This window comes from Homo sapiens, chromosome 4, assembly GCF_000001405.40.
Source record: "Homo sapiens chromosome 4, GRCh38.p14 Primary Assembly".
Classification (NCBI taxonomy): Eukaryota; Metazoa; Chordata; class Mammalia; order Primates; family Hominidae; genus Homo; species Homo sapiens.
The window spans coordinates 27735619-27750514 of record NC_000004.12 but is presented as its reverse complement, the minus strand read 5'-3'; the positions used below and the strand labels follow the sequence as shown (position 1 = coordinate 27750514).

The 14896-nt window shown below is 34.0% G+C and overlaps 1 long non-coding RNA gene across 1 annotated transcript; it reads right to left on the bottom strand.

The window, feature by feature from the left end:
• Positions 1-308: 308 nt before the first annotated feature.
• LOC105374549 (uncharacterized) lies at positions 309-13897 on the bottom strand. The gene is made up of 4 exons (XR_925519.3): positions 13778-13897; positions 12923-13133; positions 5062-5094; positions 309-423 (listed from the first exon to the last, which is right to left on the bottom strand). It is a non-coding gene; the product is annotated as an uncharacterized LOC105374549 (long non-coding RNA).
• Between the last annotated feature and the right edge of the window lie 999 nt (positions 13898-14896).

The following is a 14896-nucleotide window of genomic DNA, read 5'->3' as shown; positions in this document are numbered from 1 at the left end:
CATTTATTAGCAATAATATACTATATATTTTGTTTATATTCTGTCTCAAGCAAGTAGAATTCATGAATCCTGAGATTTGGTCAGTTTTATTCACTGCAATATCCCCAGTGCCTAGAGTAGTTTCTGGTGTTCAATAAATATTTTCAAATGAAGGAATGAAAGAATGAATTGAATTTTTAAGGAAGATACAACTCCCACATGCCAAATAAACATCAGATTATTTTACTCCTAGTTATTTTTCTAATAACTTGTTCTATTCTTTATTAAGAGTTGTTAATAAGAGCAACATGATGAAGAGGGGTAAAGATTTGGGGGCAATTTATGGGAAAAATCAGTAATGAATAAAGTTCATCCACAAATCCTTGAGAATTATTTTTTTCTTGGAGCTTGGCTCGACATAGAGCTGAGTCTTTTCTTCTGAAGCTAGAAATCAATGAGACAATTAGATGCACAAAGATTCTATGAGGGTGACTGCTTTTCATCATTTCCTGGTTAAGCCAGGATCCTATTGGCAGTGACTACAGGGGGTGATTTTGGTACCTATAACGCAATCAGAGTACATATATCTGAAAGGTTTGCTGGTCATTAAAAAATACACTGAAGCTCTAAAAAATATAACAGGAGATGGTAAATTTTATTATCTGACTAAATTATTGTTTAGTAATTCTCTGAACTAAATTCACACGCACACAACTAATTATATTGGTCAACCTGAAATAAAATCCTTGCTCTCACCTTCACTAAATTTTGTGTCTCTGAATAAGAGATTTACTTTGTTTTCTACACACAAACGATACTAATCCCTCAAAGACATGTTTAAAGATTACATATTAATTATTCATTTAGTAGTTTTGGACACAGAACTACTACCAATAAACATTTACTCAGAAATATATAGCTTCTATGCAAGATGCACAGCAAACACTTTCTTTTACTCATTTACATTTTGTAGGAGGAATATATTTACAAGGAAATTTTGTACTCCAAAAATACTGCTTGCAAACCTCTACTCAGATTTCTTGAATGAAGAGAAAGGTTTGCTGAGATGCCAGCACAGCCTTTTCCTAAACATAGCACATTTTGCCATTATTGTTCTCAAGATCTACAGGACCCTTTGAAATATTTAATAATCTGTCTCCAATAAAGCTTTTCTCCTATTTCCCTAGTATGAATTTATTATTTTTCTTATGTTGTTCTCTCTACCTTTCCCCTCTTTGTCTTGTTATTATCTTCACAATCCTTTCCCTTTATTAGACTTTATTCGTCTAATAATTAGACTTTATTCGTCAAGGATTTCAAAAATTAGACTTTATTCGTCAAGGATTTCAAAAAATCCTTGCCCTTTATTAGACTTTATTCGTGCCCTTTCTATATCATGAAATGATATTTCCATATATTCCTCCTAAAACAGTATATTTTGACCTTGCAATATGTGCATATTGAAAGCTTTTGCCCTTTTTATGTTTTTTGCTCTTTGCTCCAACAATTAAAACATAAGACAGTAATGGATACATAATAAATATGACTGAATAGATAAAATAAACTATAGTGGCTAAAATGCACACACTAAAATATGCTAGAGATGTAAACATAAATAGATCTGCACCGATTTGTTCCAATTAAAATTTACAAAATTATCCCAGAAAACTTACACTAGAATTAATCAACATAGAATAATATTGATCATACTTAATTTGGAGTGCAATATAATATTATTATTGCTTGGAAATCTAATGAAGAACTTAATATTCTTGTCAAAAATCTACATTTAAAAGTTTTCACCTGGAAAATTTTGTAAAAACTTGTCTACAATAAAACTCACAAGGGTACAAATTTGAAAATGCAAATGAATCAAATATCTTCTAGGATTCAGATAAAAATAATACAGATTATATCAATAAAATGTAAAAGAAACTTTAAAATCTCAAAATAGTTTAATAATTCTACATTAAAAATTGATGAAATTAATCCGGTTTAATTAACTATGCTCTAGAAAACACAGTCTGATTAGGAAACATCATTCAAATATTTGCTTTTACTTTATAATGTAAACTAAAGGTTATACCTAAAAGTGAAGATATAAACCTATAAACACCAAAATGCAAAATGATATTAAAGAACACTTACAAAATACTAAAGTAAAATATTAATTTTTCTTGAAACCATCAGAGAGCTGATGTCACAGTAACCACGTAACCTGAAAACTAAGGTAACATGGATCTCTCCCAGGAGTGATGGAATACAAATACTGGCTCACCTGTGGCATCAGAAGAAAAATAGCACCTCTCTGAAAGCAGGTAAGATAAATTAAACTTTTTAACAAAGTGCTAAATGTTAAGTGTAGGCTAATGAGAGAGAGGAGAGAAACTTCAGGTGTGGCAGATCAAAGGGAAATTTCACTCTCTTACAGGCTCTTTTTCATGAACGTCTACTGGGTGCTCATAAGAAAGAATGGTGGTGCGGAGAAGATTGGACAGTATCTCCTTGGTGAGGCAGGCTAGAGAGAAGAAGAACCACCAGTGTAGAAAGAAATGAAATGCACTAAAGACCCTACAAAACAAAACCCCGAAATCCCTGAGGAAAAGGTAGTACATCTCAGCATCCCTAGAACATGGTGAAGACCCATTGTAGCTGCAATATATGTCGAAGAAAAGAAACCCGGCACTGTAGAAAGGAAGAAATGCATCCTGTGCCCAGACCATGAGAAATCACTGTCTGTTGGGAGAGGAGCTGAGTCACAGAGAAATGACCACTCATGCAGCATAGCAACACAGGTCCCTAAGATTGAAACAGGACTGAAACAGGACAACTAAGAACCCACCGTCATACCTACCACCCACTTTAGCAAACATCAAAACGTAAGAAAGAGAGGACTACTGCTGAGAGAAGGACAGAAGGGTAGAGAAAAGATCTATTCATAGTAAAGGCACACCTGGACAGCCTAAGGTCTCTGTGAAAAATTGAAGGGAAAACCACTCACCCATGTATCCATAATTTCTTGGTATATGATTCTCTTCAAACCAACTAAACTCCTGTCTAAATTACCTCAATTCGCAAGTCAATAACCTAGCAGAAAGAGTTGGTCCATTTCCAGGCATAAGTACTGTGCAGTTTCTGCTTTCTAAATACTATATCTGACAATGAATGGAAACATTCAAGATACAAAAAAGCAAGGAAAAAACCCCACAATACGCTATCAGGAGACAATATCTTCAACAGAATGAGACTAAGAGAGCCATATATGTTGGAATTAGTAGGTAGAAAATTCAAATTAACTATGATTACTATGATAACATCTCTCATGAAAAAGTTATAAACAAATAAGAAACTTCAGCAGAAAGTTAGAAACTCTAAGAGTAAAATGGAAATAACAAATTCAGCTTAAATTTGATTGCTGTATACATGACTATTTTTATATCTTGTTACTCTTTCCCTCTTGTTACTTTAATCTATTGCATTTTTTATATTTAAAATAAATTGTTTATTCTAGGCACAGTTTGTGGACCTGAATTATTTTACCCAGCCTTACAATTTCAGTTCTTTAATTGTTATGCTTATACCAGTTCTACATCATATAATTATTGATATGATTGACTTGAAATCTACAGAATTGATCATTGTTTTTGCTATATTCTGTTATTTATTTTTTCTTTTTTGATCTGCTGTTGAATTAAGTACTTTTTATAATTTTGTTTTATGTCTACTACTGACATTATTTATTTACTTTCCAAAACATTTTAGTAGTTACCCTAGTGTTTACAATATTCAATTTAATTCATCAAGTGGAGTTGCTATGTTGGTATCAAAGAAATACATACCAGAACAAAAAAATTTACCAAAGGTATAAAAGGACTATATGTAATGATAATTGGGAAAATAAACAAGAAGACATGACAATTGTATGCAACTAAAACAGAAATACAAAAACATGAAGCAAAACATATATACATAAAAAGAAGTAGAAAATGCACATTTATATTTGAAAATTTTAACTCTCTTCTCTAATCGATAGAATAAGTAAACATACAATTAGTAAAGATTTTGAAAATCTAAAAAATACTATCAGTAAACAGGACCTAAGTGATTTTAATAGAATATTCCACTCAACAACAGCAGAATATGCATTCTTTTCGAGTATACGTGGAGCATTCATCAAGATCTACCACATTTTGAATCAGAAAACAATATCAACCAACTTCAAGAACTAAACTAATATAAAGTATATTGACTGATAAAAAATTAAAATAGAAATCAACAAGAAAAATATATCTGTAAAAGTACCAAATATTTGAAATCAAAGAACACATTTCTAAATAATTATGGATAAGATAGAAACCTACAAATAAAAATTTAAAAAAATTTAAATAAATATAAAATATAGGCAAATTTTGTTCAATCCAGGAAAATCAGTGTTTAGAGGAAATTTTATCGCAATACCATGCTTTTCTTAGAAAATAAGAAAGTTCTTATATCAATGTTATAAATGTATCCCTTAACGAATTCAAGAAAAGAAAACATACTAAGCTCCTACCAAATTGACAGATGAAAACAATGAAGATAATTGAAGAAAACAATGACATTAAGGAAAAATATTACAGAAAAATCAGTAAAACTAAAATTCGGCCTTCAAAAATATTAAACAAATCCATATACATCTAGTAAGATTGAAAAAGTAAAAACTGAACACATAAATTGTCAGTATAATATATGGTGTAGAGGGAATCACATCAGATCCTACAGACATTAAAGCTATAAAAATGTAATACTATAAACAACCTTATTAGGTCTATAAATTTGGCAACATAAATTTAGTCAATAAATTCCTTGAATAACAACAAATAACAAAGATCATTTAATAGTCTGAATATCCTTATATACATATACATATATATTTATTTATGCAAATACATATTTTTGAATTGGCTTGTAGCTAGAATCTTTTCAAGAAAGAAAGTTTTCAGCCAAGAGAGTTCATTAACCAGTTCTACCAAATATTAAAGAAGGAATTGCATGACTACTACACAATATCTATCAGAAACATTTAAAAGAGGAAACACTTACCAAATAATTTTAGGGTCAGAACAGTTCTGATGCCTAAACCAGAAAAAGAAAGTTACAGGTGAAGGAAACTACAGACCAACATCTTTAATGAATACAGATCCAAAATACTCAACACTATGTTAGCAAGAATAATCCAGTCATATATACAAAAAAATAGTATTCATGACCAAGTAGCTTGTATCCCAGGACTCAGACTGTTATAATATTTTGGAAATCAATCAATGTAAATTACAACATCAACAGACTAATGAAGAAAATATACATGATAATTTCAATAGAAGCAGAGAAAAGCATTTGACGAATCTCCATATCCATTTACAATTCTTTAAAAATTTCAGTAAAAGAAATTGAAGAAAACATCCTCAAGCTTATGCAACAAAAGAAAGACATCCAGATTGGAAAAAAAGAAATAAAAGTATTTGCTGTTGATATCATCGTCTATGTAGAAAATCATATGGAATCTACAAAAAATATACTAGAAATAATAAATGAGTTAAATAAGATTGCATAATTAATTAATATGCAAAGTCAAATGTTTTCAATGTACTAGCAACAATTAGAACTTAAAATTTAAAAAATTATGCTATTCAAAATAAAATACTTTACATCATATAAAAAGTTATCTCAAAGCTGGATTGTGGGATAAAATAAAAACACAAATTCTAAAGCTTCTGGAAGAAAACATTAAAATTATACATAATCTCTTTGAAAGATTTCCTTGATATGACACCAAAACCATGATCCATAAGAGAAAACCTAATACACTGAGCTTTATTTTAACTTAAACATGAAAAAAATGCCCTTTTAAAGACGCATAAGAAAATGAAAAAACGTGTCATACAGTGGGAGAAAATATTTCCAAAACACATATATCATAGATTTTTATATCTTAAATATGTCTTAAAACTTAATAATAAGAATGCATAAAAAGCCCAATAACAAAGCAGACAATACATTTTAATAGACCAAAGATGATATATGTAGCACAAATGAGCATATGAAAACACCCTCTACATCATGAGACATTAAGGAAATGCACATTAAACTCACAATAAGATGCAAATATTCTCTTATTAAAATGTCAAAACAACAAAAAACACCTGTTACAAGTACTGGTGAGGATGCAGAGTGACTAGAATTCTCATACACTGTTGGTGGAAATGCAAAACTTTAGACTCTTGGTAAAATAGCTTGACCATTTCTTTTAAAGTTAATTATACATTTATCATTTAATCAATCTTTTTGTCTACTCACCTGAGAACATGAAAATGTAGATTCCAACAAAAAATATGTACACAAATATTTATAGCAGCAATATTCATAATTAAAAAAATGGAAGCTGCCTTTAGCTGCTGAATAGACAAGCTGGAAGACCCATACAAAGGAATGCTAAATAGCAATAAGAAATGAGATACTGATACATCCCCACACGTAGATAAATTTCTAATGCATGAAGCTACATGAAAGTCAGGTTCAATACATACATATATACAAACATACATACATACAAACAAATATATGCACATAAATCCTGAAAAGAGAGTCCGTTTGGCCTGAACTTGGTCACATACTTACCCTCTGTCATTATTAGTCCTCTGGTGTGAAATAGGATATGCAATGAACAGACCTTCAATGGGACATTGGAATGGCTATGCTAAAACAAGGAAGAAGGAATGACGTGCCTATAAAAATTATGTATGTATGTATATATGTATACATATGTGTGTACATGCACACATGTGTACATATGTGTACATATGCATATACACACATGCGTACAGGTATACATGCATGCAAACATTTTGTATATGTATTTCCTTATGCTTATCAAAAACTCATCTTAAACAGAAAAAAAAAATTACAAAAAGTGTTCAAGACCTTCTAGGGAAACTGGCATGATATCTAAATGACATGTCTGATAAAAATTTCCCTTACAGTCAACCCCATTTGAGCTTGCTTCTTGGATATTGATATTTATTAAGCATTTAATAAATATTAAAGTATTTATATAATGAAAAGGTGATTTAATGAACAATGAAATTTAATTAAATGGTAAGTTTGTTATTACAGACTGCTCATAGGAAAATTAGGACATTAAGTAGATTAACATATTAACTTTTCTTTACTCAAGTACATTCACTCTTTCTGCCTTCTTAAATGTCCATAAGAAACAGATAAAAAGGAGATAGATGACACACATGGTACATCTAAGGGATTTAGAAAATATAACTATATTATCTGTATAAAGTACTTTGTGAAACACATGGAAAATAAAATCTTAATAATTAAATAAACTGATGCTAAGTGTCAAACTGCATTTTTTAAATTCTAGAGTTAGATCTGATTGGATACTCACAGTAAGTACCAACCAGATCATTGCAAGCTGAGTGTCTAGAGAGAGTGGGAACCCAGCCCAGCTGGGCTGGGAAAGAGTTTACAGTTATTTTACACCCAGCATATGGATTCCTGAATGAAACACATGAGAATGCCCAGAGCAATACATCATTCCAGCAGGAAGCAGCCTTAGGAAGTCACTAGAAAAAATACACAAAAATAAAAATCAATTTCCAAGAAAGCCACTGAATCACTAGAATTTATTTGTATGAATTTCCAGAAAAATGCAACTAGTGAATCTTGGCAAAGAGAGCTAATGTTTATTGAACAACTTATTATTAAACAAGAGCTTGACAGGAGCTTAAAATTGTCATTGAAGTTATACTCCAAAGAGCTTTGGGAGTTAGGTGATAGTGTCCCAATTTAATATAAGGTGATACTAAGGCTCGGCATCCTTTAACCTGTCATTAGTCAAGGCTGTACAACCTAAGTGAATGAGCCAAGGTTCAAAGTGAAGTTTTTCTGATTTTAATCCGTCAGGTTTCCATGTTCTATAATCGCCTCTCATATATTCTTTCATTATGTTTCCTGAAATGTCTGTACAGTATGATGATTGTAGCATCCCCAAATTTTTTGATTCTCAGAGTGTGCAGGACATTTTAAAACCCTACAATGTATTATCACAGAGCTTTTTCAGAGTAACTATTTTAATTTGTGAGGTTTTTTTCTGAAGAACTGGGTTTTTAATGTTTAAATCCCTGAAGCCATCTCTAGATAATGCAGATTGAAGTAGAGTCCAATTACCTTCTATTCTAGAAATTTTTTATTGGCCAATTCCAAAAATTCAGATCATCATATTCACTATGGCATTCTGACACTTACAGAATGACCATTAACCTTGCTTAAATTCTATCAAAAGTCACTGTTAGCAAAGTACTGGGAACATAATAAGCGCTCAATAAATTCATAAATGATCTACATACCATTTGTTTAATCCTTCTTGAAATTGAATTGACTGCTCAAAATTCAATTTTGCTTTAGCTGTAAAAAATGCACTTTCAAATACATGTATTAGAAATCATTTTGCTTTACACATCTTATCTCAGATCTCTGAGGCTGCATCAGAGCTCAGCAGAATCACCAAGGAAATTGTATGCCCAAAAACATAAATTTCAATTTTAAAAAATCTTGCCAACTTGCTATTAAAAAATAATAATAATTAAAAGCAAAAAGGAGGACAGACTAAGATTTCTGCTAAAAGGGACTTATAGTGAAGACTCTTGTGGCATATGTTCCAATTTTAGGGAGCCAATATGGGCCAGAACAGACAAGAAAAGACCACAGAACTCAATTTGACACAAGAGATTACAAACCAACTTGAAGAACAGACAAAAAATAAATCCTGTCCTTGTGATATGTCTAATAATATTTATGTATGCAATGCAACAAAAGGAAAATAAATATACACTGTTTTGCCACACTAAAGAGAAGTGAAGGTTATAATAACTAACATTAGTGTTGATGCCCATATATTTCTCTAAGGCTTTTCATACAAATTGAGATGAGCCACATAATAGAATCAAAGTAAATAAAAGCTCTGTGGTTGCTTGTTGCCTGTGAGATGGGGCAGTTCTGGTGGAGAAAAAGCACTGCATTCGGTAAATATTCTATTTAAATAATGGAGGACACCTGGTGTGAGTGAGCATAAGCCAATTTTGCTGATGTTTCTTTATTTTTTTTCATTTTTAGTAAACTGAGAAAACTAAATGTGATTTTATCTGACAGTTGCCTCTCCCAGGAGGATAAAACTGTTTTATATTTTTAAGAACATTATTAAAGTATGTAGTTTTTAATCACTGATGTCATTATGGATAATTTATATCTAGAATAATATTATGAAAATATTTTTACTGTACTTAGAAAATAGGTTTCTCTAGAAGAAAACATAGGGAAAAAGCTTCTTGACATTGGTCTGGCCTATTATTTTTTTGAATATAACTCCCAAAACACAGGCAACTAAAGCAAATACAGACAAATGAGACTGCATGAAACTAAAAAGGTTCTGCACAGAAAAAGAAATCAACTACAGAGTGGTACAAAATACTTGCAAGGTATACATCAGATGGGAGCTTAACATCAAAAATATATAAGAAATTCAAACAACTTAATAACAAGAAGACAAATAGCCTGATTTGCAAATAAGCACAAAAAGAAGGCATATAAAATGGCCAAAAGGTAGATGAAAAAAATGCTCAACATGACGCATTACTAGAGACACACAATCAAAACCACAATGCGATAACACCTCATACCTGTTAGAATGGCTATCATTAGAAACACAAAAAATAAGTGCTGGCAAAGATGTGTAGAAACAGAAACTCTCATACGCTGTTGGTGGGAATGTATGTTGGTAGAGTCATTATGGAAAACAGTATGTAGATTCTTCAATAAAGTAAAAATGGAACTCTCATATTATCCAGCAATATTACTGCTGGATATATGTCCCAAGAAAATAAAATCAGGATCTTGAAGAGATATCTGCACTCTTATATCATTGCAGCATTATTCCCAATAGCCAAGATATGGAATCACCCTATAATCAATACATGGGTAAAGAAAAAGTGGCACATATACACAACAGAATATTATTCAGCCCTAAAAAAGAAGGAAATCCTGTCATTTGCAACAACATGGATGAACCTGGAGGATGTCATACTGAGTGAAATAAGCCAGGCACAGTAAGACGTACTGCGTGATCTGTTATATGTGGAATCCAGAGACTAGGGAGGTAGGAGAGATGTTGGTAAAAGAGTACAGAGTTTCAATTAGGCAAGATGAGTAAGTTCTGGAGATCTAATGTACAGCATGGTAACTATAGCAAATAATACTGTATTGCATACTTGAAATTTGCTAAAAAAAATAGTATGTTAATTGGTTTGATTGTAGTAATCATTTCACAATGTATGCATACATCAGAACATTATATTGTATGCCTTCAATATATACAAGTTTTAGTTGGCAATTATGCCTCAATAGCTGAGTGTGGGGCAGGGGGTAATAGACTTTTCTATATGGATACTTTTCCACTAGAAGAACTTAAGTATTAAACCATGATATTCTTGATTATCAAAAATTTGCGCAGCATACCATATTTTCGGTGACTAATATATTTTAACTTAGAAATTATAAAACAGCTTTGGAATGCATTGTAATTCTCTAAAATGTAGTCCTTTTATGTTTATTGCAATTCTGCTTCTGACTTCAAGTTTTCCTGCAAGAATTAAACTGGCCCTATGTAACTACTTAAATCAAAATATAACTTTAATGATTGTTTCCTTTAAGTGCCAGAACATATGCAAAATAAATCTATATGAACATATGTGTGCATACATATATGAACATATGCATAATATGTACATAAGAATACATGTAATATATAATAGAAATACAGTGGACAGAGTTGATTTTGTCCTAAGGACCCTTACCATCAGAAAGTGAAAAAGCAAGCTATGTATTTAATGGGGATGTAACAGGTTACTCACCAGAAACCACAGGATGCTCAACGGCACACTGCAGGGGGCCTCTAACCTAGTCTTGCAGAGGAAGAAAGGTCCTAGATTCAGGTAACTTTTAAATTGAGGGCATAGGAAATTGGAGAGGGAGGGAATGGGGGAACATGTTCCAAGCTGAGGAATGGGAAATGTAAAGTCATAAATGATCAAGTTAAATGACACACTTTAAGAATCAAAAGTGGTTCAATCTGATAGGAGAAATCAGCTGGAAGGCTGGTAAAAGCTAAGGTGGAAAGATGGGGAGGAAATAGAATGTGGACCACATGTTATACATTTGGACCTTATTGTAAAGGGAGGAAGAAGCTCTGGAGGCAGGAAACCAAGGAAGCACATTGACTCAGAAAAATTTTTTTTGGAAAAATTACACAAGCTTCAATGAGGAAATTTGATATTCAGAGAAGTCATAAAGGAGGACAGTATATATAGGGAGACAAGTTAGAAAGAGGCTGCAATACTGGATAATAGTGATATTATATGATGATATGGTTTGGATTTGGGTCCCCATCCAAATCTCATCTTGAATTGTAATCTGAATTGTAATCCCTATGTGTTGAGGGAGAGACTTGGTGGGAGGTGATTGGATGACTGAGGTGGTTTACCCCATGGTGTTCTAAAGAAATCTGATGGTTTCAGGTTCCTCTGCACTCTCTCTGTCTTCCAACTGCCACCATGCAAGATGTGCATTGCTTCCTGATAAGGTTTGGCTCTGTGTCCTCACCCAAATCTCAGTTTGTAGCTCCCATAATTCCCACACATTGTGGGAGGGACCTGGTGGGAGATATTTGAATCATGGAGGTGGGTCTTTGAAATGCTGTTCTTGTGGTGTAAATAAGTCTCAGGAGATTTGATGGTTTTAAAAATGGGAGTTTCCCTGCACGACCTCTCTCTTTGCCTGCTGCCATCCATGTAAGATGTGACTTGCTCCTCCTTGTCTTCCACCATGATTGTGAGGCCTCCCTAGCCAGGTGGAACTGTAAGTCCATTAAACCTCCTTCTTTTGTAAATTGCCAAGTCTCTGGTATGTCTTTATCAGCAGCGTGAAAACAGACTAATACACTTTCCCTTCACCTTCCACTATGATTGTATGTTTCCTGAGGCCTCCCTATCTAGCCAGGCAGAACTGTGAGTCAATTAAAACACTTTTCTTTATAAATTACACTGTATCAGGTAGTATCTCTATAGCACTGTGAAAACACTAAAACATATGGTAGTAAGCAAGACTCAAAGGAGAATTAGCAATACATTGGGGAAACAGGAAAGGCATGATGAAGCAAGGTGGATACCACGAGTGATTGGCAGGTACTATGCCACCTTAATGCAGGCAAACTGGTAAGCATTTAAATAGCAGAGAATGATTTATAAAGATAATGATTTATCAACTGTCCCTTGATACACACCTTAAAGAAGCAACCATATTAGTTTCTTTTTGGTATTTTTGTTTTGTTTTCCTTATATTCATATAGTTATATAATCTTCATATGACAGCTTGGTGTTATCAATTTTTGATATCATCTGTTAACTTTCTATTATATAGGTGATGGATTAGCTCCTTTATACAACTACTATCAGTGTGTTCTATCCCACCTGCCAATATATTGATATAAACATTATTTTCTAGACCAGGCACAGTGGCTCATGCCTGTAATTCCACCACTTTGGGAGGCCAAGGAGGGAGGATCACTTGAGGCTAGGAGTTCCAGACCAGTCTGGGAAACATGGCGAGACCACGTCTCTACCAAAATTTTTTTAAAAACCTAGCTGGATGTGGTGGTGTGCACCTATAGTCCTAGCTGCTCAGGAGGCTGATGTAGGAGCATCCCTCAAGCCTAAGAGTTCAAGGATGCAGTGAGCTGTCATGATGGCACTGCACTCCTGCCTGGGCAACAGAGTGAGACCCTGTCTCTAAAAAAAAATATATGATTTTATGTATACTTTGAATAATTAATATAGATTACCTGTATATTTGAATAATATCATTGCATCCTCAGTTTCATATTCATCAACTGCAGAGGGTATCTCTGTTGGTATGTTTAGATCTGCACCCACCAAATTGCAGATCCTTGCTTTCTTTCAGCTCCTCTGGAATTTAGGTGGCTGGATTCCACCTCCTAGTATCTGTCTCTCAACTTCTAACATCTTATGTCAGGTAGTGGCAAATACATGCGTCTTATATATGTAAAGGAAATAAAGCTTATTTTTCTGTAACTAATATAGTCTTCTTCATGAGCCTCACCCATGGAACCCTTAGGATAATTTCCAAATCGCTCCTATTTGCACCCACTGTGGCACACATATTCTTGTTGCCTGTGGAAGGGGCCCTATCCTGCAGGGTCCAGAGTTGAGATCCACTTCTTCTACCACACCAGTGGCTGACCAGGTTGTAAGTGAGGCTGTGGTGGAGGTACCATATGCTTTTGGCTTTGTAAAAGGTGTAGGATTCAAACTGGAGTCACTGGTGCCAAACCCTGGCAAATGCAGCCAGGGAAGATGATGAAGACAGGATTCTCATGCACCATTTGTCTGATGACAAAAACTATCAGAAAAAATTTTTCCAAAATGCAGCTTACTACATGAGTAGCACAAGGACAGCTAGCGGCTTATACAAAAACACTTGACTGAATTAAAGGAGTATATTTACCCTGGCAACCTTTACTCCCTTTGAGGTGGCACTATTTTCTGTCTCCCTTACACACCCCCGATTATGAGATATTGTTTTGATTAACTTTTTTGGACAATAAAAAGAGATATTTCAGTGGCTTCCCCTCGGCTCTCTCCATTATGGTATTTCTTACCTCACAGGCCAAGGATACAAAGTAGAGGTTGCACCTACCACTAAGTAGAATAATTCTAATTACATATTCAGGGACTGGGAAATGACCACCAAGTAGTTCCACAGACCCAGTAGCTCCCGTGTGTGCTGCGCCTAGTCTGGGATTCCATTTATTTCCTGGTCCTTATATGTCTCCACACAAAGAATGACATCATAATGACATTTCAGGATGCTAGGTATCAATGGTAACTTGGACATAGGTCCGGTTGTCTTTAAAATGTTTGGACGCTCCTGTTTTCCTAATGCAAGCTCACCTGAGTACATGTCTGAAAGCAGGACTACAAAACTTGTGGTGGAAAATGAAAAAACGAAAATGTGGGGCCACTTATTTTAAAAGCCCAAAAATATGATAGTATTTTTTCTTTCTTCCATGGTCTCTCTCTCAACCTGTCATGTGTGTTTCATTTTCTATTTCATGTGCCATTGTTCAAGCACAAGGATATTTATCAGGTTAGTGCAGACCCTCCCCCTTGATCCTTCCTGTGCCCATCCCAAGCACCTGTTTTCCACCCATGACTGGAGCCCAGGGCAGCAGCAGTTGCTGGGAGGAGTGTAGAGTAAAAAGTCATGAACTTGTCTCAAGGAGATGGGAAGTGGAGAGTTAGAACCATGTGTAAGTTAAAGCTTCAAATCTTTTGAAGATGCTTCACTGTTCTATCAGACTCCCATCTTACCAAAATGCAGATTAATGGACAAAACTATTAAAAATTTCTAGAAGACAACTGCAAGCCCAGGTGCCAATTCCCTTTCTGAGCACAGAACCCTATCCAATTGCACTGGTTATAGGACCATGAAGCCATCTCTGGATGCAGTTTCCTTTGAAGAAGGACTCTAAGATTCATGTTTATGAGTATTTGCCATGGTACCGTGGAGTTCTTTCTCCTGGACATCTAAGTTTCCCTTCAGCCAGTGAGTCTGGGTTACAAACTGGCTAAGTTCTGGTTTTGGTCATCTATTCATGCTGCGACTTGTTGGATGATGATCCATCTACCCCTGTGAGCATGGTGTTCAATGCACCCTTTCCTTAAGTCTGGCTGGGCCTGGGTTGTATGAACTCTGGGGTTCATATAATAATTATATCCATTTTACTCACATTTAA